We start from the raw sequence: 24846 nt of genomic DNA, 5'->3' as shown, positions 1-24846 counted from the left end.
TTTTATCCACCATTCATCAGGGAAGCCCTTCATTCTATAAAGTAGAATGAGAAATCCCACTGGACAATAGCAGAACAAGGGGTTTTTTAAGGTGGGAAACAGAAAAATAGAGAAAAAAGGTTAACATCGGGTTACTTTTTTGTAAGGATTAAAGTAGAGGGGACTTCCTTATTGTGCTGACTCAGGTAGACTGAAATCTGTTTTCAAAGGAAACAATGGTCTGCTTTGGAATTTATCTGCTTCCTTGAAGTTTCAGTTTGATTATGTGGCATTTAGTATGAGCAGCTCCATTAGTTTGTTCTGGTCTGCTGGGACCCAGTGCAGAAGTTCAGTGCAAAACCATGGCCTTCCCCAATTTTTTGTTTAACAAGCTCTTTACGTCAACCTAAAATAATCAAAAGGGTATGAATCTAATTTAAAGAGCTTATACAAGTGCAAAATTTGAGGATAGCCCACCCGGAAACATCAACTCCAAAGATACAGAGTCAGTATTCTAAAGTAGAGAAGTTAAGGTTTCATTTATGTAGGCAGAGACAGAGGAGTTTCCTTTAGCAGGATTACAACATTATTCATACAAGGTTGGAAAATAGTTACAGGAATTGGTTATAGGTATTTCTTTTTGGGAAGGGTACATTTAACATTTTTTTATAGAGGGTGAAATACTCGTGGGTTTTCTGTCATCTGGTCCAAGCGAGGCAGGATAATAAAGGGGAAATTTATAACAAGGTCATTAAGAAGGCAAGAGGTTTTTGTCTTTGACATCATTTAAGTATCTCTAGTCATTGTACAGAACAAACAAAATAAGAAAGTGAGTTGATGGGCTATAATCTAAGAAAAAGAAGTAGCCATATGTGACTCAGATCACAGTCACATCACTCTCAAGGCTTAAAATGTTTTGGGGGTTACAACAGCTTTTAAATCATATTTATTTTCACGCAATACAAAATATATATTTAAGTCTATGTATTTTCTATTCTCAGTGCTTTTATCTTTAAAAAGGGCATGTATTTAAAGTATAAAACTTTCTAATGCACAAAAACTTCAAAGTACACAAATACTGCATAGGAAATACAGTCTCATCAATTGCAGAAGATAGAATTCTCTTGGATTTTCTAGTAAGACTGTATTGACAAAGGGTTCTGCAGTGTCATGACGGATTGGAATATAAAAATTAAGTCATTTTACCACAAACAGAAACAACCAATTATAACATGCATTAGAAAAGGATATTTCCTTATAGTAACAAAAGTAAAACTCCCAGAATGTCAAAAAGTGTTTATTATATCATATATATATATGAAAATCTATGAAACCAAAAGCTCTCCCACAAAAGATGATTTAATGAAGACATTCATTGTTCTTGAAGAGAAATACAAATGATCTTTGAACAACACAGGTTTGAAATGCTAAGTTTCACTTATATGCAAACTTTTTTCAACCAAACACAAATAAAACATATGGTATTTGAGGGATGCAAAACCCTCAAATACAAGGACCGACTTTTCATATGCATAGGTCCCATGATCTGCAGGGCATTGCTTGGATTTTGGTATCCACAGGGGTCCTGGAACTAGATACCAAGGGAGGACTGCACTCGGTATTGTCGGTCTCTCCAAATCAGTCCTATAAATGTTGTGCAACCCATATCAAAACTTCAAGAGATGTGCTCACCAGCAGTTAACCAATTTTTATAGAACATGAGGAAGGCTTTACCCAAATCTGAGAACATACCAAAGTAATGCATCATTTACTAGGAATATGGAAGAGCTCAGTGAAAGAATTTAACACATAATGAAACAGCATTTCAAATCAGACATATGAGTGGACTTTTCAATAAATGAATTTTGAACAGATATTGGAAGCAGCGCTGTTTCACTCTTCAGAAAAATCAATTCTAAAGATCTACATGTTAACTACTCACACAGAAACATGTCGTAGAGGAAAATACATGACGTGAAATGAGCACATGTAAACATAGGAAAACATACACTGTAAATGTCTTAGAAAATAATTTGCTTTATATCCTGAAATAAGTCATGAAAATTAATCAATTTGATTGTATACAAATATAAAACATTTATTTAAACAGACACCATGTAAAATTAAAGCCAAATGGCTAAGTAGGAGAAAACATTGGCAACAGACATAAAATACAGAAAATACAAGAGAACTCCTAACAAATCCATGAGATAAAAGGACAAATCATTCAATAGAAAAATGAGAGGAAAAAGAAAATTAACAAATGTTTATATGTTCTAAAATAAACATACAAAAATATGTCCATCTTCACTAGTGAGAAATTTCTGATTTAAAACCAAAATAATTTTTTCAGAGTAATTAAATTACAAAAATCCAATAGCAAGTGTCATTAATTACATGGGGAAGCAGATGCTCATATCTTGCTCAGGGGAACTGTAACTTGATACAGCCATTCTGGAACCCAAATGGAAGTATCTCTTCAAATTAAAAATGGTTATACTCTGGCCTGAAATTCAAATCCTAAGCATATACCACAGAGAGAGCCTTATATGTACAAAAAGGGCTCATGTAGGATGATGTTCCTTTCAGCATTGTTTGTAATTATAAAGGAATAAAAAGAAGGAAAACTTCCTTAAGTGTCTATTATAGGCAAAGTACTGTTGGACAGTGCACAAGAGATTAGGTAAATGTGAATGTACCAAAATAAAAAACTCCCAAGTAGAAATAGCAAGTTGTACAATAATATACATACACGTATGTAAAAATCGTAACTATACATTTCCTGTGGCTGTAGATAATATATACACATTCCTACATTAAACACTCATAAAAACACTCTAAAAGAAGATCTAGGAGAGTTAAAACTATTACTTCTACAGAGGATATTGGGACTGAAGATGGTTTTCAAAAAGCACACAAGCAAAATGTAGTCATATATTACATGAGTAATTAAAAAACTGAAAGAGTGTGCACAGATTGATATATTTTAAGGAAAATATAGATAAAATTATATTTTCTATTTCTTTCCCTCCCTTGATGGAAACAGTACATGAAAGGTTCTAGAAGATTACCTGCCAAAATGATGTATTCTATCTAAATATATCTCTGGTAACAATACACTTAAGTCTTTATGCTCACTTTAAAAAGAGAAGAAAATTCGGTTCATGATTTCTGTAAGCAATACAATTTCAGTTCACAGCTCTTATCATTTTGTTTTAGTTATTTACAATCTTTACTAGGTATAGAATTATATATTGGGATTTTGCCATATTCCAATTTAGAATATAGTATTTAGGAAAGAGGAAAATAGTTTTTTAAATTAGAACTTAAGTCATGATTAACATTTCTGTCAGTGGCTTTAATAAGTCAATACACATTTCTAAAAGAAAAACGAAATTGAGTACAATAACCACATTGGCTTATTTCCTTAGTAGTTTATTAATTCTATCTTACATCATTAAATAAAAACATGAATATTAAAAGATATCACTGGTAAATGCCTTTTGAGGACTGCTTCTTTTGGAGATCATTCTACAAAACTCTCTTACCCTAACAACGAACGAGAATGCTACTGGTGTTCATATTCAAACCACTGTGTTTCATGAAAGACCCAACTTTTGAGGGTATAAACTAAGAATAGTTTTTAGAGCGCTATGCTTTAAAGAACTGCTTATTTTTAATTCATGTATTGCAAAAGTCTTGAACCATAAAAAAAACAAAACAATGATGATGAGAAAAAAAGAAAACTCCAGGGCTACCTGGGTTTGCAATGGTTGTGAAAGAAAAGTATACTCAGCATTTTCTTCCCAAATTAAAAGGTCCCCCCCAAAAAAGTGTAGCCAAAAAAAAAAAAAAAAAAACAAAACAAAACAAAATAAAAAAAACCCTGGCTTTGAAATACCCATTCTTGGCTGTGGTAGCAATAAACAATATTGCTAAAAATTGTTTGCAAGGATTTATGGAATTTTTACCTTTTCAGAGGACATTAAACTATTGTTATCTACATGTCTGCAGTGTCAGTAAAAGGCCATCTTCCAATGGAATTTGGAATTTCCCTTACCTATCCTTGGTATCAGTTTAACCATCTACAGCGACTTGCCTTGGGCAAGGAAGGGCCTCCCACATTTCTGATCCATGAACAACTTCCTTTCAGTACATTACAATGGAGAAAGCACTAGGCCACTGTTAGAAAGTTTTAATCTGTCACTGAAATACCAGCAGACTTTAGCCTGATTCCTCTCCTGCAACACAACAGGGCTGTGCTAGAAGATGATTAGTTTATCCTCCAACTCTGAGAGTCAATCATTCATATTTTTATCAAAGGCCACCGAGGAAAAAAGCATTCCTTTTTTCTTCATAACAGCATTTTTATAACTACATCATGTATCAGTTTTATCTGACATTTTCAATTTAATTCAGCAATACTTCACAGTGAACATGCAGCATCTCTTTATATGAAACAGATACTCAAAAAATATAAGCAGGTAATAATTTTTTAAAAATCATATAAAAGTTAATGTGAAGAGACTCAGAAAATAAATCATTTGAGCAGATTCTTTAAGTCTTCAAAACAAAAGGCAGGTGTAATTTATTTTTTTAACTTTTTGTAGAGATGGGATCTTGCTTGCTATGTTGCCCAGGCTGGGCTCAAATTCCTGGCTTCAAGCAATCCTCCCGCTTTGGCCTCTGAAAGTGCTGGAATTACAGGCATTATCCATCATGCCTGGCCGGGAGGTGCGATTTTATTTCAAGAAAGTATTTAGCATTTAAAGTGGAGATATACTGACTAGTCAGTAGTGCTAGCATTTATTTTCTTTTCACATTGACACTTGGAAAATAAGAAATGAGTTCAATTGAACCCATTTAATATGAAAGTCTTTGTTTAGTCACAAATTTATTTTTACAACAAAGCACTTTTGAGATAATTTAAAATACACATGCTTTGATTGAAGAGTGATTGCAAATGGGTCCAGTTTTCTTCCACCTGGGATGACAAATTTGTTATTTCTTCTAGGAGTACTGGCTCTGAAGGAAGCATTTTAAGGTGTAACTGCAAAGAAAAATATGATGATTGAACATTTAAGAAAATTAAAATTTTACCTAATCTGGATTCAATTTTTCTACCAAGGAACCACAAAAGACACTAGGTGAATATTTGTTTTCTTAAGCGCTGGTTTATTACTATCTCCCATTTTCCCCTCCTCTATCAAACTTTTTTTATTATAAGGTCCTTTATGATACTGTGACTTCCTTGGTAGAATTAAAGTGGTCATCACTCCTCTCCACCTAAGGACAGTCCTGATACTTTTAAATAATCAGATCAAGTGAACTCATTTTAGGTATAAATGGGATAAAGAATCAAATCTATTATCACCAAAAATCGGCATCATCTACCTCCTTCAACACATTATACCACTAAAGTAGACCCTCAAAACATGAGTTCACCACTATATTAATCATAAAAGTAACAGTCTTATTGTCAAATGATCAAAACTCCTTTAATAATGATAGAAGTGAACATTTTGATTTCAGTAGTAGAAAAAAAAACAAACAAACCCAACTTTCTATTCATAATCACAAAAAACTTCCAAAATGTAACTAACCACTAAAAAAAGAAAAGTTAATGGTTCAGCACATTGGATCAAGCAGATAGCATAAAAATGTCAGGGGGTAAAGTCAAAATTATTGTGCAGTTGAGTAAAAAAACAAAACAAGACTCCCAAGCTGCACTGTCTAGCTGTCCAATGTGGTAGTCACTAGCCACATGCGGTTATTTAAATTTAAATTAATTAAAATTCTATAAAATTAAAAATCCAGTTTCTTGATCACACTATTTACATTTCAAGAACTCAATAGCTACATGTGGCAAGTGGCTATGATACTGGAAAGGATGGATATACAGCATACCCATCTTTGCAGAAAGTTCTGTTAGATAGCACTGCCCCAGAAGAAGACAAGCTGGGCAGTACTGTCTTACATTAGACTTACCTTTAGAAACAATGCAAGGTATGCCTGGGCTAACTCAAAATCACGCTTTCTGTCCAGCATCATCCCAATCATTTTCAAGAAGCTCTGCATAACTTCTATGGACCCACCACAATCAGGAGACAAGCTTCGCAGCTCTGTTTCAATTCCTGATGGGCCTGATTCTTTCAGAAGGTTGAGAGCAGTGTCATCTGCATTAAATTTTAATCCAGTTATGACTTGATTATAATCATTTAACTTAGAAAATTACAGTTTTCCTTTTATACCCCAAATAGGATATATTTAAATGGTACAGGAAATTCTTCCTGTGGGTTAATTTTTTCATATTATGTAGTAGAATGAAACCCAAAATAATTGAAAATCAGTACAAACGATGACACCAATATAAGAGAAAGTACTCAAAACACATTTTTTTTCTGTAATTTAAACCTTTTTCCTGTTAATAAAGAAAATCTAATGCCTTGCAACAGGCACGTTAGAATTTTAAAATGCTCATATATCTTCTCTCAGAGTAAATCCTAATTAAGAAGCCTATAACGATACATACAAAAGTATTAATAGTGGTTAGCATTGGGAATCTGATGAGGTAAAATAATTTTTCTTTTCTATTGTTATAAAGTTATAAAAGTACATAATCATTAGGAACTATATTACTAACAGTACAGAATATATAAAATCAGAGGGGGAAGACCCCATCCCTTATTCTTACCCAGCCCAAACCTACTTCTTTTCCCTAGAAGAATTGTTTCATATGCACCCTAGGAAAACACACTCAGTACACTTACAGCTATTTTTATGAGTCATTTGAGAACTGCAATGACTATGCTTTAGCTTTCTGAAAAAGAGTATCACCAATGACAAAAGTCTAATCACTTTTAGATCCTTCAGTATATAGTAAACAATAGTGTTTTTATTTCTTTGTCTCCCCATAAACATAACAAGTCATTTACAAGGGCTCATCAGTATCATTCTCTGACTTTTGCTAATGTGGACTCAAGTAATCTCGGTATGAAAACAAAAGCATTTGAATCAAAACAAGAGGACAAGTTAAAATTATTAGGAGAGTGACTACAGTTTTTTAAATGATTACAGTTCTTATGGCTAATCACTATTAGCTACAGACTGTAGCCTTCGAAATTTAAATATATGAACACAACAGACAGATTAAAACATTTCCTTTTTAATAAAATAATTTAGGAATATATGAAATCACCTAAGCAGTCCGCTGAATTACAAATTATAAATAAAAACAAAAGACTTGCAAATTACTTGCTACAAAAACGACAAACAAAACTTTTACATTTAATTCACAACAAGAAGGATCTCCTTATTATAAATATAGTCAATAACTGTGTCCATCTCCAATAGCAAAAAGTAAGTTAGATATATGAAAAATCTTCAACAGATTTTTATAATATCAATACCATTTGAGTTTAGTGGGCTTATTTAATATAAATGCTAAAATTACGTCAAATTAAAACCAAAATTTCAATCTTTTTGATTTTTACTATCTTAACTACTGAGAACGCTGATATTTCCTTCAATTTCTCCTCATATACAGTAAAATAAGCTAAATATATTAGTTAAAATATCTTATAATTCAACTTACACTTATTATTTACCAGTCCTTCTTCAAGTTTCAAGCAGAAATCTGATTTTTGAGCCAAAACTCCAAGATTTACCACTTTAGACTTAAACAAAAACAAATACACATTATTCAAATAATTCAAGTATCACCCAAAAATGTATAGTTTGTAATTAAAAGCTATCATTAATTTACCCTATATCTGTAAAACTAGGTCTTGGTAAAGAAGTGCAGAAAACACATACAAACATACACCGATATACTTAGAATCTTCTAATTTGTTTTTTACCTGCTGGGGATCATTATTTTGTTCAGGTGCAGCATATCTGGGTACAAGGCCAGGAATTGTTGGAATGAAAAATGGTGCTGATTTGGGTACTTTGGGTGGTTCCTTTGGTTTATTCTTTTTCTGATTAAGAGAAAATGAGAAAGAAAAATAGGAATTATCTTGCCAACAGTTTCTCATATTTAATTTCAAATCAATTTTAAAACAAATACCAAAAAGTAAAAGAGGAATGAAACTCTTTCACATAAGAATGTTAAAATATGATCTCTTCTGACCAATACCACAGCTATCCTTAACTTGGGCTTCCCAATGCAGATCTCTAGCACCCTTGCCGATAAGGCAGAAAAAAAGTGACAGGGCACAGGGGAAGTTCTAAGACAAACACAGCTCATTTTCCTGAAATATGAATATATTTACATGAAGATATAACAATTAAGTAATTTTAAACTTCCTTTTGTATTGAGTACAAACTCTTTCACAAAACAGGATGGAAAGCAAAATTTACATAAATGCTTAATACAAAAGAGTTTCTTAAATTACTTTTCTCCAAAGGAACTTTGGAGCCAGAAGCAGACTGACATTATAAGTAATTTGATAATTTCCTTTCAAAGTACAGCTCTAATTTTTCTATTTTGCTGGAATTTTTTCTTTAGTACCTTGTGCTTTTAAAATTCAAGAAAACATGATTGCTGGTTTATAAGTATTTCAAATGCTAGTAAAATTATATTAGCAAAAACTCTACTGAAATTTCCATTGAAAGAATTTTGTTTTGGTAAGTACACTGCTACATATCAGTATCTCAGGAACATTTTTTTTTTTGAGATGGAATTTCACTCCATTGCCTAGGCTGGAGTGAAGTGGTGCGATCTCAGCTCACTGCAACCTCCGCCTCCCGGGTTCAAGCAATTCTCCTGCCTCAGCCTCCTGAGCAGCCGGGATTACAGGCACGTACAACATGCCTGGCTCATTTTTGTATTTATAGTAGAGATGGGGTTTCACCATGTTGACCAGGCTGGTCTCGAACTCCTGACCTCAAATGATCAACCATTTCAGCCTCCCAAAGTGGGACAGGCGTGCGCCACCGTGCCCCACCTCTCAGGAACATTTGATGGAAGAGCGTTTCTATGGTAAAGTGCCTAATAAAGAAGTCTCACAATTTCACCTCACATTATTCTTCCATTCTTTAGGAGCTATGCCGCCCTAGGGAGACATTCTATTCCAAAGGGAAGCCATGGTATAAAATAAAATGATCACATGAACACAGGACAAAGCACCGCAAACTGTAGTGTAAGCAGAGCCCTTTAGGATGGTGGAGACTGTTATGAGTCACAGTTACCATTCTAACTCACCATTCTTGAGTTAGAAAGGGGATGGTCACTGATTTGTTAAAACCATAAGGCTTTGGAGGAACTCCACAGTGCCCTGGAAATTATCTAGTCTTATAAAGAAAAGCAAAAATAGAAGTTATCCACAGGACAAATGTAAACTATAGTCTTGGTACATTCTCTTTTATTCAGCAGAAAATAAAAATATTAGAGGTTTTAGCATATTCCTATCATAAAGATAATCCACTTATGTTTTGATATAAGATTTTATGCAGTATAAACTATATCTTAGTGAGGACCACAGTAGCCCCAAAACTCTGCTCAATTAGTTAAGCATTATTCTGATTGCTCCCCTCACACTAATCTATTTGTACTTATTAATGCCTTGCATTTGAACTATTTCATAAAGTACTCCCTTTAAAGCTGATGTGTGGACAGCATGATGAAGAGATTCCACACCATGCTCCTAGACAGCACACCTTTATGCTGATGACTAATCTCTCAAAAAGTTAGCAAGTAAAAAGAAGCAATTTTAACTTCTGTGAGGAAATGTAATGTGAAAACTTCTCTTTCCTTACCCAAGACACACACTTCTTTTCTTGTGTTATTAGTTACAAGGATAATTATTAGTTACTTAGTCAGTGTTTCTTAAACTTTTTACCACAGCCCATACTGTGACTTAAGTACATCCAGCAGATCTAGTGTATGTGTATGTCTAACCAACTCAAGTTTCACCAAACAATACTTGCATTCATGATCAAAAGGTAACCTGAAATTTTTCACTGTATTGTATTCCTTTCAGTAGTTTTTGCTACTCACTAGTGGGGGATCATAAAACATACTCTAAAAAATACTAATCTATACCATAGTTGTCCATTTTTCATGCAGAATCATAAATTCCTCAAGGACAAAGGGGCTGTTTTTTCTTCACCACCATACTCTCCAGGTACATTATTTAGTACCTAGCTCATGTTAACTTATGTACCTAGCCCTGACACAGCAAGTTCTAAAAATCTTTCAGTAGTTGACAGGGTGTGGTGTGAGATAAAGGGTTAACTTAATAAAATGAAAGTCTAGTGGAATTTCTCTGGTTCTCAAATGACTAGCAGTAGAAATATGTTATAATAGCCATATGTGTTCCCGCTCGTTTTAGAAACTTATATAAAAGTGATTTCTTAGGCTGGATTTTAAAAGATCAGTTTCCAGTAGCTCTGTAGTTACAGGCTCAACTTTTGCCACATCCAAATGTCTGCTGAGTGTTCTCAAAGTTGATATATATATGAATATCTTGTGATAATCATACCATATTAAACAATATTTGATTAAATAGCATTGTCAGTGCTGTCTTACATATTAATTGCTCTTCTAATGCCCTCAATGTAGGAGAAGTTCTCTCTGCTTAAAAAAATAAAAATGCTTCTGGATGCATGCTTAGGGTCTATAAAGAATGTTAATTATTACCTTAATAACATCAAGGTTAAGAAGGTTTTTCCATCGTGATTCAGGAAGAAGTGAAAGAGTCACCAATTGCTCATTCAACTGTTCTGGCGAATCATATTCTATCAATTCATCACTTGGTTCTACTGTTTCTTCTGATACTTCTACATCTTAAAAAAATTTTTCAGGTAAAACAAAAGATTTTTATCATATAAAAGCAACTTAATTCATTCCAAATCCATCTGTATTTCATAACATGTTCATTTAATGCAGCCTTGTAGACTGTTCATTTATTTCATTTACTTATCCCTGTCTTTTCCTTATTTTCTCATATTAACTAAAACTCCCATCACTAGACCCAAAACACCTTCTTCAATGGTATACTATTTGATAGCTTATCAATACCACATCAATTATATTTTTGCATAAATTCATGAAGTCATTCAAAGTCTTTTATATCAGTTAAAAAACACTTTGATTGAATGCACTAAACTTTGCCTTTGGTAGCAATATCTCCTACATTAGGTTTATAATATTACACCTCAAAAATTACTTTGCAATTTTCTAATTACCTTGGGTTTGACAAGTACCAGGAAGCATGACTATTGAAGGGACATAATCTGCAGGAAGTGGCCGTAATGAAACAACTGAATACAGGGAAATATTGGACCTGAAAAATCAAAACATAAGCAATATTTTAAAAATTATAAAAAGTTTCTTTCAGAGAAACACTCTACAATCTTGAATTTGACTACAGACTTTTATTAGTTAAAAAATACCTCAAAGATAGATTGTTATCAATTTAAAAACGCCTTGACTTATGTCATAGATGCCATCATAACAAAGCTGTGTAAATACATTATTGAGTCTCTTTCCTGATGTAGTACAAAAACATATTAAAGACAGACCAGTAGTAGATAATAATTTTATAAGGTAAAGTAAATTTCATATATTGTTTTGACATATATCAACCTTTATTTAAGGAAATTAAAAGGAAAGATGAACTCAGAGAGTAAGTCAGAGTGCGAATATGCTGAGCATATTCTTGTGGCTGCTGAAAGGTCATAGATTCCCCTTCTCTAGAATGGCCCTCTAAGTAGCCATATTTCTGCTACTCAGCCTGCACCCTAGCCATGGATGACTAATCAAGATGTAGATACCGGTCTTTTAGGGGACAGGTTCTTTTTCCCACACCTTATGAATCTGGAATAGAAAATAAAAATTGAGAATCTCAGGTTTCAAGTTATTAATAGCAGTACTTCATTGAGAAGGGCCATACTCCTGCTGTGAGTGCTCATAGCTATTCTTTTCTAAACTGTTGAAGCCTCATGGATTCTAAAACATACTCTGTTTTACAAATTAAGGTGAACAGGGTCTGTTTCTATTATATATTAAAATTCCCTTTGTATCTTCAAATGTAATTATAACATTTTATAATTAATTCTTTTATAAAAAATCAATTTTTTCTTTTACCCAATACAGATATAAAGTTAGGAAAGAAACAAAATTTTTTCTAAACCCAGGTGATGTTCTATTTATTATGAGCAATGACAGTCCCTTACAGGTTCATCAAAAGAGAATTTGAAGTATCTTTACACGGTTATAAAAGTCATGCAACTAGAATAAATCTCAGAAAGTATTCTGCTTATACTTGTGCCTTATTTTATATACAAACTAGGCTGAAGTTCAGAAGGGATTGGCCAAGGTCGTAAAGTAGTTGTGGGATACTGGCAGGAAAACCATGGCCTGGCTGGGGACTCCCTTTTCCTAAACTTTTAAAAATCACTCATTCTTTCTGCAAATAAAAGCCAAATGTAACAGACAAAAATCAATCATGTGGTTTAGAATATACTTCAGCAAAGCTGTCTACATTATCAAGCAGATGTTGAATCACTCAGACTTACAGTGAATTAAGTATCTGTGTTAACTTGTGACATTTCCATTTAATACACTTAAAAACAGCCTAAATGACAATTTTAGCAACTCTAACTCTCTGACAATACAATCTTCTTCATCCCAAAACAGAACTGTATGAAAGAACTTACCATAGATAAATTCCAAGGTGGTCCACATGGGAAGTTGCCAGAAAGTCTCCAGTAGGAGACATAGAAACATTGAGAGGAGCCGAGTCCAACAAAAAGCAGTCTATAAGGCTACAGAAATAATTAACATGTTAAAAGTATTTGAACTCTACCAAAAAGGAGATAATTCACAAAAATATTTTTGCCAAAAAGATAAGGGATAAGAGATGCAGAAAATGTTTTCTTTTTTTTAATCACCAGCATTGATCAGAAAGTCACCACTAATAAACAGCTTTGTTAACTAAGTTACTATGTGAAAATAATCTCACTTAATGAGAAAGACAACATTAACTAGACTGACTAACTGGAGAAGCAGTTTCAACAACAGGGAGGAAACAGGAGGAAATTTTCTGTTTTTCTCGAATACTAAATTTTGGTAGACTGACTTGGAGACAATTCTAAAGATATAACATTTAAAATAAATCTAATTATCAGTATTCTGTATTTCTGTTACTTCAGTGAAACTAATGAAAAGCTTAGGCAAAAGGAGAAAGTAATATAACAAAATGGATGTAAATAAGAATAGTAATTTAAAAAAAGCTTTTGAGCAACTGTACCTATTTTTCAAATAAGTAATCATGCTATACATGAAACACCATGAAAATTCAGTCTCTAGAGAAGAACCATAAAGCAATTTATGGAAACTAGTCCCATAGCTTTAAACTGCTGAAGGGATTTACAAGTTGGGGTGAAAGGGAGAGTAACCACAAACCAGGTAGAAGACTCAGAATGGGCTTCACAGAGAACACTTATGTTTGAGAGGAGCTTTACAAATGGACAGGATTTCAATGGATATTGGTGTCTAGTAGAGAAAGCATTTCCTGGCTAAGAGAAATGTGGTGGATAAGGCAAGGGAAAATACAATTGTGTAGAGTGAGGAGTGCAGTTTTGTAGGACCATTAAGCATAAGCATAAGGCTGCATACAATGTCTTACATATCAAACACCTGAGTTTGTGTTAATCTTATAATCGATGGAAAGTCATTAACCACTTAAGAGGAGATAGTGGCATAATCTTCACTTCCATAAAAACTTGCCATCAGAATGCAGAATATATTTGAACAGAGAGAATGGTGACAGTATGGTAGTAATCATCTAACAATCAACAAAGATAACTAGGATGGTGGTAGCAGGAAGTGAAAAGAGGTAGATTTAAGAAGCAAAGAGAAAGGCCTACACTCATCTGAATCCTGCTGAAAGACCCCTTAGGCTGGCTAAAAGCGAGAATAGCTTTAAGCAGAGTATACTGGTTTTTAATTACAGCTTTTCTGAAGCCAATATATTATCCATAGGAAGGTACACACAAATGACTCAAGTTCCGGATGTACATTAATACAAATTATTTCAAGAACAAGATTAACACTTTTTTAGTGTTCTGTGTGAGGAAGTATCCTCAGCACTTGAGCGTGCTAACTAATCGAATCTTCACAAACCCTATTAAGGCGGATCAGTCCAGAAAACTGAGGCCCAGTAAGATTTGAAAACTCGCTCAAGGTAGAAAGCAACTGGGTCAGGATTTTTACCCAAGCAGTTCTACCCAATTTATATTGTTAGCCAATATAAATTCTAGTAAAGCCACTACTGAAACTAAAACACAAAAACAGGGCAACAGCTTACACACACTGAGGGTATGCCTACATCAGTGATTCATGGGACACACACTGTGAGCAGCTCAAATGTAAATGAAGACTGTCCAGTGGGAGGCATTAAGTTGCTTGCCCATGGTAAAACGCCTCTCTCAATTTGCTAAAAGAGCCAATAAAAATGTAAACCTTAAACAATGAATGCAAGATGGAAAGAAAAGACAACAATTAGAAGCACTGGAAACAAACACACACACATCAAAGTGTGTTCAGGAAAAGGACTGCTGTTTAATTGTCCATTATGGGGAAGGGAGCAATAACCTGTCTGATTTCTGTTCAAGTCTGTTTTGAAAGCCCACAAGAATGGCTTTTATTGGGAATCAAGAGAATTGGGGAAAAGAAAACATTTGCTAAATACTTATTCTATGCCATACACTATTAAATTATTTATGTTAAGTCATTTAATCCAAACAATCCAGAGATGAAGATATTATCCTAACACATATAAAGATTAAACCTAAAACACGGCAATTTCAAATCTTAAGGTATTTCCTTTGTCTTAATATTACTCATCAAAAGTTTACATACGTGAAGGGTAAAACTTCCTAACATGTTTAGGTACTATCTGTTAAAAAGCTTACTGCTTGAGCAAACTTATTTTACTTCAAACTATAATTATCTTGTCAACTTCATTGTGTAACTTCATTTCCACAGCTGTGGTGTGTGGGTAGATGGGACTTCCATTATATAAAACCACCAAATTGAGGAAGGTGGTTTCCACATACACAGCATATTCTACACTGCCACATTAGTTCATGAAACATAAATGCACAGGCTCATCCCAGACCTAAAACTACCATACAGTTTCATGGTAATCTTAAAAAAGTAAGTCCCAAGGTACCTTACAATTTTTTCTGAAATAATATTAAAACAATTCCTATTCTAAGAGATCAGATTTACAAGATCAGAGCCCTGCATAACAATTCAGAAGGTTGTTTCTGATTATTATTCTGAGCAAATGGAGACTGCTTCCATATGTTCTATTTCCAAAGTGCTAAAATCACCTTCCACAGAAATCTTTAAGGAAGAAGGGGATGTTTCTGCCTCAGTGAGAAATTGAAAACAATGTTCTATTCCAATTATTCTCATGTAATTCTCCTCAGGAAGTAGGGGTGGGGTGAGACAGAACAAATGAAAAATTCTATTAAGATTATTTAATTTTATATATTTCTCACCCCTCAAAGAACTCAATCTGGCTGGGCACCGTGGCTCATGGCTGTAATCCCAGCACTTTGGGAGGCTGAGGTGGGTGGATCACTTGAGGTCAGGAGTTTGAGATCAGCCTGGCCACATGGTGAAACCCCAGCTCCATTAAAAATACAAAAAAAAAAAATTAGCCAGGCATGGTGGCACACGCCTGTGGTCCCAGCTGCTCGGGAAGCTGAGGCAGGAGAATTGCTTGAACCTGGGAGACGGTGGTTGCACTGAGCCGAGATCGTACCACTGTACTCTAGCCTGGGCGACAGAGCAAGACTTGGTCTCAGAAAAAAAAAATAAGAAAGAATTCAATCTGAATTTCTATTAGATCAAAAACAACCAGACATAAAAGGTGGTGGTAGTGGCAGAGGAATGATAATTTTAGATAAAAAATTTCAACTTTGCTCCTCTGAAAATTTTACAAACATAAAAAATGTTTCACCACTTTAAAAAAACTTTACAGGAAACTTTAATACCCATGCAATTTGTTTCAGATAGGCACAATTCCAGATGGATATACCTGTATGTTAATACACTCAAGGGTTTACTCATAGATAGCTTCACTTTCCAGGCTATGTAATTTGTTTTCATTATTCAAATTATTTAATTGAAAGAAGAACTAGGAATTTCCAAAGGTTGTCATACTAATTATGTTTTTTTTTTCCAAGCAAATCAGTTCATACTTAAAACAAGACACAGTCTGAGCAAAGATGATAACATAAGTGTTAAGAAAGCTATTTCTTTCTCCTGTGCTGATTTTGCGCTCTGTCATTTATAAACTAAGTCACCTTGGGCAAATCACTTAATTTCTCTAATAGCCTCCACTTCCTCATTTTTGAAATGGGACTAATAACAGTAATAGTACCTACAACTTGTTAGGATATGAAAAATAAAAGCATAAACAGTGCCTAGCAGCACATTGTAAATCTTAGCTTAGTTGCAATTAAGCAGCAGCAGTTGTTGGATAGTTATTCAAGCTCTCTCATTTGGTCCACTTCAAATTTTAACCAAAACTTTTTTCTTTAATAAAAATATACTTTTCTTCAATCAATGTACATTTTATTACATTTTCTTTTAACAATTCGATGTGGTCACTTCTTGCTCTTGTGCTACACCCAGCTTCATGCCTCTCTATTCACTTAAAATTGCCTGTTCACCTAAAAATAAAGATACTAGAGCTGAAAATCTATCAGATTTGAATCTGTTCAACTTCTTACTGATATAAGAAATTCAGCAAAAGGCTAATGCTGAGTCAAAGGTTAGTGGCTTTGAATGCTACTTTCAGATCCTAATTTTTTCATTCCAAAGACGAATTTACCACTTATAATACATTGCCAATTTACTACTACTGAATAATCTATCTCTCTCACTAATATAAACTAAAACTATTAAACAGGAAAATGAAAAAGGCACTATGCCAACTCTACTATTTATACAACTTTCTTATTTTAAAGCAATTCAAATTATATAACATTAACTTTTAGAAAATAGCAACAGCCCAAGAAGTGACAGACCACTAATATTTCTAATAGTGTCTTTAACAAAATGTTTTTTTAATTGAAGAAATACCAACTTTAAGTGAACTTTCTGAAGCCTGAGGAGGATACAGTCAATAAATTCGATTTTGCTTCACTCTATTTTAAGTGAAAGAGACAAACCTGTGGACAAAGGTCCCTGATTATTAGAGCTGGACCCACTAGTGACAATCGTTAGCTGTGCTTACTACAAATCCAGTGTATATGCAAGATGGGTAGGTATGCCTCAGGCCTGTTTCGAACTCGAAGGGAACTGAGGACATCAGGGTTTTTCCTTCCTAAAGGTCAAACTGTTTTCATGTATGAGCTTATCCAATTCCTGAGTAGGAAGAGGAAGTGAACAGAGCTTAATTTGGGAATATTTTAGATTAAAAAGTACCACCTTCCTTCTCATTTTTCTCACCTATCTTTCTCTAATGGTATGTTACTGTTAAATTAGATGTTTTGCTATTCCCACAATTCTTCCTTTCTTCATACTCATCTAAGCAATCCTATGTTAAATGAGATGATTTTAAATGGTATCTATACCTACTTAATTTTTAACAACAAAGCCGACACATTCTGTATGTCTCCTCTGTTCATACCACTTTCTCTTTAAAGCCCTGGATTAGCAGCAAATTTCAACCCATGAAACAGATTTCTGAACATTTGTTACGTTTTAACCAAATCCGAAGACACACATTTTCACCACTTTAAGATATAGTTAGAATGTCCCCTCCAAAACTCATGTTTAAACTTAATCCCCAATGTGATGGTATTGAGAGGGAGTGCCTTTAAGAGGTGATTGGATCATGAGGACTCTGTCCTCATTAATGGATTAACCCATTCATGGATTAAGGGATTATCATGAAAGGGAAACTGGTGGCTTTATAAGAAGAGAAAGACAGACTCAAGCTATTACATTATCACGCTCAGTCCCCTTACTCTGTGATTCTCCATACCACCTTGGGACTCTTCAGAGTCTCCACCAGCAAGAAGGCTCTCACCAGATATGGCCCTTTGACCTGGGGCTTCTCAATCCCCCAAAGTGTAAGAAATAAACTCCTTTTCTTTAGAAATAACCAAGTTTCAATATTCTGTTATAAGCAACAGAAAATGCACTAAGACTATCTAAAATGCCTTCTTTTAAGAATTATGTCAGAGAAGCAGAAGAGACATACAAAAAGGAAAAGTTAGGGGGTTTGACCTTTTAACTAAATTCAGCATGAACTAAAAAAACTCAAAAGTTTGCCATCCTTAAGTCTGAGCTTTATTTTGGAGTATCAAAAAGGTCAAATGAGCTTTCTTAAGGTTTAGGCATCTCGCTTCTGTATCTCAATTTTGCAGGATGAGAAAACCTAAGAGAGATTTCATTTTTCTATTATGTTTCATGACACTACTACCTGCTGTTTAGTTATCAAAAACACTCCAAGGATACAATATAGTCATGTCAGAAAAATCTCCAAATATAGTCACATTGAAAAAGCATATAACCCATTAACTATCGGTAAAAGTCACATGTGAAAAAAATAACTTAGAAATCTTATAGAGGTTAGGGAATTAGAAATATAAACTTACCACCCAGAAGGAAGGTCCCAAGTCCTAATAGAGCAATCCATCGCAGCACTTATTAACCAACGACCATCAGGACTAAAAGCCTTTAAATTAAAAAAAAAAAATATATATATATATATATTATTTATATATAAATATATATGAATATATTTGTATGTATGTGTGTATGTATATATAGTTAACACCTTAAAGAATGTAATAAATGAAAAGATAATGCAGGCTTCATAAAAAAATTAATTTGACTAACATTCAGGCTGCCTTATTTTATATAAAAGAAAATACCACTTCCTAAATACCACTGATTTGGAATCTGGATAAAGATTAGACTTTTAAATGAATTATTAAAAGTTAAAAAAGTGTACTGCATTAATTTTCAAATCACAATCTTCTATTTATTTATAGACAATGTTTATGTGTGTGATAAGGGCTTACTTTTCTTGAAGCTTAAGTTAAAAATCTTTTCTCTTTTAATAATGCTTTATTTCTAAACAAACTATAATAATCAGATTTTCAAAATAAATTTAAATAAACTACTTATGCCACCCATTATTTTTTCTAGCTATGAAAATGGATAAATAATAGATCTCTCTGCCTGTAGTACCTAAGGGTTGTGAGGCACAAACCAGATCACAGGTGAAAGATGACCCAAAAGGAAAAACTTTAAAGTTTACAGTTGTAGTAGACTGTTCATCCATCAGTTTAAATTAGTAGATGATACTGGGATACGTAAATGTTGATTTGTTCCTCAGGCTGCAGTAATACAATGGGAACTCAAATCTCAAGTTATAGATAGATCAATTTACAGAAGGGTGGTACAGATAGTAAAGGATGGGAAAGAATGATTCTGAGAGGTAAAGTCATGTTATAAATGCTCACAGATTTGACTAACCGGAATAACTTATTACTGAGCAGGGAAACTCGAGATATACAAGTTGAAAGTAAGGTTTGAAAAAGAAATAGGAAGAGCAACTTGACACTGACAGATGTTTTCAAAAGTGCCATTTCAGCACAATTAACCCAATCCCACCCTCATTTCTACAGATGCTGTCAAAACAAATTCTGCTGATGTATAATTTTGCCAGCCTCCTATCTGCAGAACACAATGTCCTGACCATGTTTTTTTTCTTCAATTTTGAAGGAAAGGAGTAAATTCTGATTTTTGGTGTGAGAACTAGTAAATGCAGCTGTTGGGTTCGTCACTAAGTATTAAGATTTTATTTTTATTTTACTTTTTCTATTTTCAAGCAAATCAAGGTATCTGCAATTGATGAAAGATGATAATATACACTTAATATGGTCCTCAAGTGACAAATTTATTTTAAAAGTTCTTTTTAATGAAATATGCTATTTAAACTAGTTTACTTCTTTCCATATCATATATCCCATTATAAGAACATAATAGTAAACTTAAGCACATTTTTATTAATTAAACCCTTTCAGAGTTAAGATATGTAAACTCTAGAAATAGCACTAAACTAAAATAAACCAGATACCAGATATTCCAGGGAAATGGTCTTCTACTATTAATTCATTCCATACATAGTAAATCAGAAATGAGTTCTCCCAGCCTATTTTAATATTAAGTTAAGAATGACATATATACCAATGGATCATTCATTCTCTAAAGTATACTTTGGCCTTGTTTAGAGTTAATGAAAAAAAAGATGAGTTCTAAAACTTATACTTTAATTTGATCGCATCAACTCCCTGAAAAATATTAAACTTTTAATTCAAAATTTTCCTTTAAAATCTTTGAAAAATAGCCTGCAAATTAAAATTGATAACCACCTCATATAATGATTTTAAGGCTATTAAAGGATAACACACCCAAACAAAAGTAGAAATGAGTCAAGTTTTATTAGTTAGAGTTTGTTTTACCATGTCATTTATTTGGCCTTGGTGTCCAGAAAACTCTCTGACAATCTTCCTAGTTTCTATGTCCAGAACACTAATGGAGAAGTCATCCAAGGCGAGTCCCAGAATGCCACTAGCAAGATAAATGCACCAGTTTTAATAAACAAAAAACCCTTGAACTAAAATCTCACCTCCACTTGAATTTTGTTAAATCAAGTACACTTTGGGGGAAATTAAGCCAAATGTTGTTCTTTATTAAAGAGTCTGATTTTTCCCACTTGGTAAATTGTGACTTTATGACTTTTACCAAAAGAATCAAAGAGAAAATCCATTATCATTAAAAGTTTACCTGTCCCTATGTAGCAACATGATATTTGGAGATGAACTGAGGCTCACAGAATGGATTAAAATTTTGTTTTTAAAGTTCCAGAATTTGAGTAATCCTTCACTACCAGTTGTAACTGTCAACTGGTTTAATCCATCCACTGCGACACCTCTAACAGATCCCTTGTGAGCTGTAAGGTAGATGTCAAAAGAAAAAAAAAATCAGAATTGGCAGTGTTTCTCTCTGAACAATACACACAGTGATTCCTTCATTCAAATATGTAAGGTGCCACTTAAATATCCTTTAAAATCTTGAAATTAATCTGGATTTTAGGGGTGTAAGAAGATTCTTAATTATTAATACTGTTCGAGTAAAAAAACAGAAATCAGATCGATACAACATAGGTTTGAAAAGTTTGTTAAGATTTTCTGCTTAAAGGAGAGAAGAAAAAAAATTAATCTGTATAATATCCACGTAACTCTTTAAGTACCCATGACTTTTCTCTTTCAACATGGTCCTTATGATACAATTGCAGTATCTGCCATATAGGGTTGATTATAACCCATCTTCAACTTTAGCAAAATGCCCAGCACTTAAAGATTATACATACCAGCTTTCACTACTAGTTTTGTATCTATCTACATTAATAAAAAACAAGGAAAAAAATTCTCTACCTTGATCCTTGCCAAAACTTCCTCGATGTATGCCAGACTGCATGTTATATACATCTACAGTTCCTGATGAGAGGCCAATTACAGCAAAGTTTCCACAAGAAGTTATATCCACTGCCTTTAAGAAAAAAAACCCACAAATGACAAAATAACTAACATTTTTATTGCACTTTATGCTTTCCAAAGCATTTTTTTATCTACTTGTTCCTTTTTATTTAACAAAAGAACAATAAATGAATTGCTTCATTAGTTTTTTTAACATAAAGTAATTATATTTGGGTGTATAAGAATATATGCTAGATTCTATCTCCATTCTTTAAAAAGTATGAAGAATTACTATCTAAGAAAACAAAACATAACTAAGGTTAACTCAATTTAAATGTACAAAGTCAAGAGAACTATATATGGGACTAGCCTTCAATTTTTAATTTATTAACAAAGCCAAAGTTAAAACATTCCATCGCCTAATTTCTTTTTGTCTTGCCTTTTGTAACTGCTTCCACAGCTGACATAAAACCAAAAACATACCATTAGTTAGAATGGCCAAGCAAAAGCCCAAAATATTTTAATTATGACATATTAGGAAGGAAATATATAAGACACTACAGAGAAAACATTTGGTTTATAAGCAGGTTCTATAATATAATCTCATTTTAATACTTAAAATATCAATATTATGTCAATATATTTTTTCTATACTGAAAACATGAGACTGGCTACATATTTGGTCACTGCTGGAGAAATAACTGATTGCCAATGTGTGTCAGTCAGATGTCATCCACCAAGAGATAATTCAATTTACATCTAAACAGATGACTTATACAAACTAAGTAGAAAGTATTTAATGAAGGTTTATTTAACTAAGCAAAGCAACATAAAGTTTGACATACCACTTTGTCACGACATATTTACATTGCATCACATAAATATGTTTTACATACATACATTTTTCTAGATAAAGATTTCTTTTAAAAAAAGTATTTTAGATGGGAAATTACTATGGTTAAAAAGCATTTTATCTTCCTAAATGAAACACAAACATTAAGCTGACCTATTTTGAAAAATTCATAAATGTTTATGCTATGTTGTATAGTTATACAATCAAGAAACTAAAGGAGCTTGTATGCTATAACCTGCAAGTAATACAGGCCCTACATTGTCCTGCTTTACATTTTTTTAGGGGAGTTATTGTTTTTAGTCGGCCTGCTCCTGGCATTCTCTTCTTCTAATTTATTCATTCTAATGTATTATCTAAGCCAAACAAAGCAAAAATAAATAAACCGTGAATGTTATCTTTGAGTAACAAATTGTACTTTAGTGCACAGGCTCTCTATACGTATTTTTGCTTATTACTTATTGGTTACTAGCTTTGCTCCAGATAGCTGAGACTGTCAGAAAAATGACTCAACTCCAGCTAAATATCATAGTATACATACATACTAAATGTTCTATAAGTGATCCCTATGGGCTATAAGAATATAGATTCTAGAATGAATTGTCTTAGGTTCAAATCCCAGCTCTGCCCCTTACTCGCTTCATTGATCTTAGGCATGTTGCTCATAAAGCCTGTTTTACTGTCCATAAAAAGCAGCTAACCAATGTACCATGCTGTAGGACTGTTGTAAGGAAAATATGAAATAATCCATGCCAGACAGAAAGCCTGGAACAAAGTAATCACACAGAAAATGTTACCTGTGATTATAATTACCACTACTATTACAACCATTATTCAAAACTATGTAGGTAAATGTCCCTACGGGAGCGTAAGATAGAATCTTTACGGTTTAGAAAATTATATAAAAGCTTAAGACTGGATTTTCATACTACAGAGAATAGAATATACAAACTTACAATGCAATTTGTATAAAATAGGGTCAAATGTTGAGTTACACTTTTAATAAGCATTTTCAAAAGCAGAGGCATCTATTAAAAACTATTAGAACTAATAAGTTCAGCAAGGTTGCAAGATATGAGATCAATAATGCAAAAATCAACTGCATTTTGATACACTCTCAATGAACAATCCAAAATAAAAAAACAAAACAAAACAAAACAAAAACAAAACAAAACAAAAAAACTCTACTTCAGTAACATTAGAAAGAATACTAGGAAAAATGTACCCAAAGAAGTGTAAGACTTATATACAAACAACTACAGAATATTGTTGAAAAATTAAGGAAGATCTAAACAAATGGAAAAACACCCCATGTTCATAGATCAGAGACAACACTCAAACTGATCTATAAAATCAAAATGAAATCCCTATCAAAATCATAGCTGCTTTTTTTTGCAGAAATTGATAAGCTCATTCTAAAATCCATACGGAAATGCAAGGGACCAGAAGAGCCAAAACAATCTTGAAAAAAGAACAAAAAACCTGGAGAAGTCACACTTCCTGATTTCAAAACTTACCACAAAGCTATCAAAATCAAGACAGTGTGGTACTGGTATAAGAACAGACATACAGATCAATGGAAGAGAATTCAGAGTCCAGAAATAAACTCTTACATACATGGTCAAATGACTTTCAGCAGAGGAAACAAGATCTTTCAATGGAGAAAGAATAGTCTTTTGAACAAATAGTGCTGGGACAACTGGATATCCACATGTAAAAAAATGAATTTGGACCCCTTTATCATACCATACACAAAAGTCAATTCAGAGAGAATAAATCTAAATATAAGAGCTAAAACTAGAAAACTCTTAGAAGTCACAGGAGCAAATTTTTGTGGCTTTGGGTTATGCAATGCTTTAAAATGTTAAACTACGTTTTTTCAGTCAATATTATGATGAGAAACCTTGAGTATAACAAGATTTCCATAGGAAAGTTTTAAAGAGAAGATACTCTTATAAACAAGCTCACTTACTGTTGCAGTTATGTCATCTTTCTTCAACTCTTTTGGCTTGAGAAAGTAAGCGCCTATTGTAGATTTCTGATAATTCCAGGTTGAGCAAGATAGCTTACCTTGATGGCAAGCAATGATACCATCCCAGTCACTTTCACGAGCTTCCTCTAAAACGTAATGAAAATCATAAATCAAATTACTTTTCATTCTGTTATTCATTTATTACTTATTAGGCATCCAATATTTCAGACACTAGGGATACAATGGTAAAACAAACAGGTAATATCTGATAGCAATATGTTTCCAATCTAACAAGAGATTATTTTTTAATTGACAAATAAAAAATGTGTGTATTTATGTGTTTATGGCATAGAACATAACGTTGTGATATGTATACATTGTGGAACGGCTAAATCAAGCTAATTAACATACCTAACAAGAGATTCTAATCAGAAGAAATTACAATAAAGTATGACAGTGTCTTATAAGACCACTCAGGAGATTTGGGGAAAGTAAATGGCTCTCTGGATGGAGTAGTAGAACA

General features: G+C 33.2%; 1 protein-coding gene across 2 annotated transcripts in view, besides 1 other annotated feature; it reads right to left on the bottom strand.

The window, feature by feature from the left end:
• Positions 1200 to 1805: an enhancer, noted in NCBI's record as "OCT4-NANOG hESC enhancer chr5:110465656-110466261 (GRCh37/hg19 assembly coordinates)". NCBI's record gives its function as "activates a minimal SCP1, AML or CMV promoter by ChIP-STARR-seq in naive H9 embryonic stem cells {active_cell/tissue: H9 hESC(naive)}" and the evidence as "EXISTENCE:reporter gene assay evidence [ECO:0000049][PMID:30033119]".
• The window catches only part of WDR36 (WD repeat domain 36), a 38155-nt gene continuing 14569 nt past the window's right edge, over positions 1261 to 24846 (bottom strand). Inside the window, exons 12-23 of one of the 2 annotated variants that reach the window (NM_139281.3) lie at positions 24324 to 24469; positions 21460 to 21574; positions 20810 to 20975; positions 20485 to 20593; positions 18610 to 18689; positions 12643 to 12750; positions 11170 to 11267; positions 10622 to 10767; positions 7839 to 7958; positions 7574 to 7655; positions 5968 to 6155; positions 1261 to 5029 (exon numbers count right to left, since the gene is read on the bottom strand). In NM_139281.3, coding sequence (NP_644810.2) covers positions 4880 to 5029; positions 5968 to 6155; positions 7574 to 7655; positions 7839 to 7958; positions 10622 to 10767; positions 11170 to 11267; positions 12643 to 12750; positions 18610 to 18689; positions 20485 to 20593; positions 20810 to 20975; positions 21460 to 21574; positions 24324 to 24469 — 1508 coding nt within the window. In that variant the 3' untranslated portion in view covers positions 1261 to 4879. Of the gene's footprint in view, positions 5030 to 5967; positions 6156 to 7573; positions 7656 to 7838; positions 7959 to 10621; positions 10768 to 11169; positions 11268 to 12642; positions 12751 to 18609; positions 18690 to 20484; positions 20594 to 20809; positions 20976 to 21459; positions 21575 to 24323; positions 24470 to 24846 lie in introns of those variants that run through there. The other variant, XM_047416729.1, reaches the window with a different exon arrangement.

Source organism: Homo sapiens, chromosome 5 (assembly GCF_000001405.40).
Source record: "Homo sapiens chromosome 5, GRCh38.p14 Primary Assembly".
NCBI classification, from domain to species: domain Eukaryota; kingdom Metazoa; phylum Chordata; class Mammalia; order Primates; family Hominidae; genus Homo; species Homo sapiens.
Note: the sequence above shows the minus strand (reverse complement) of the source record. Positions and strands in the feature narration are given on the sequence as shown.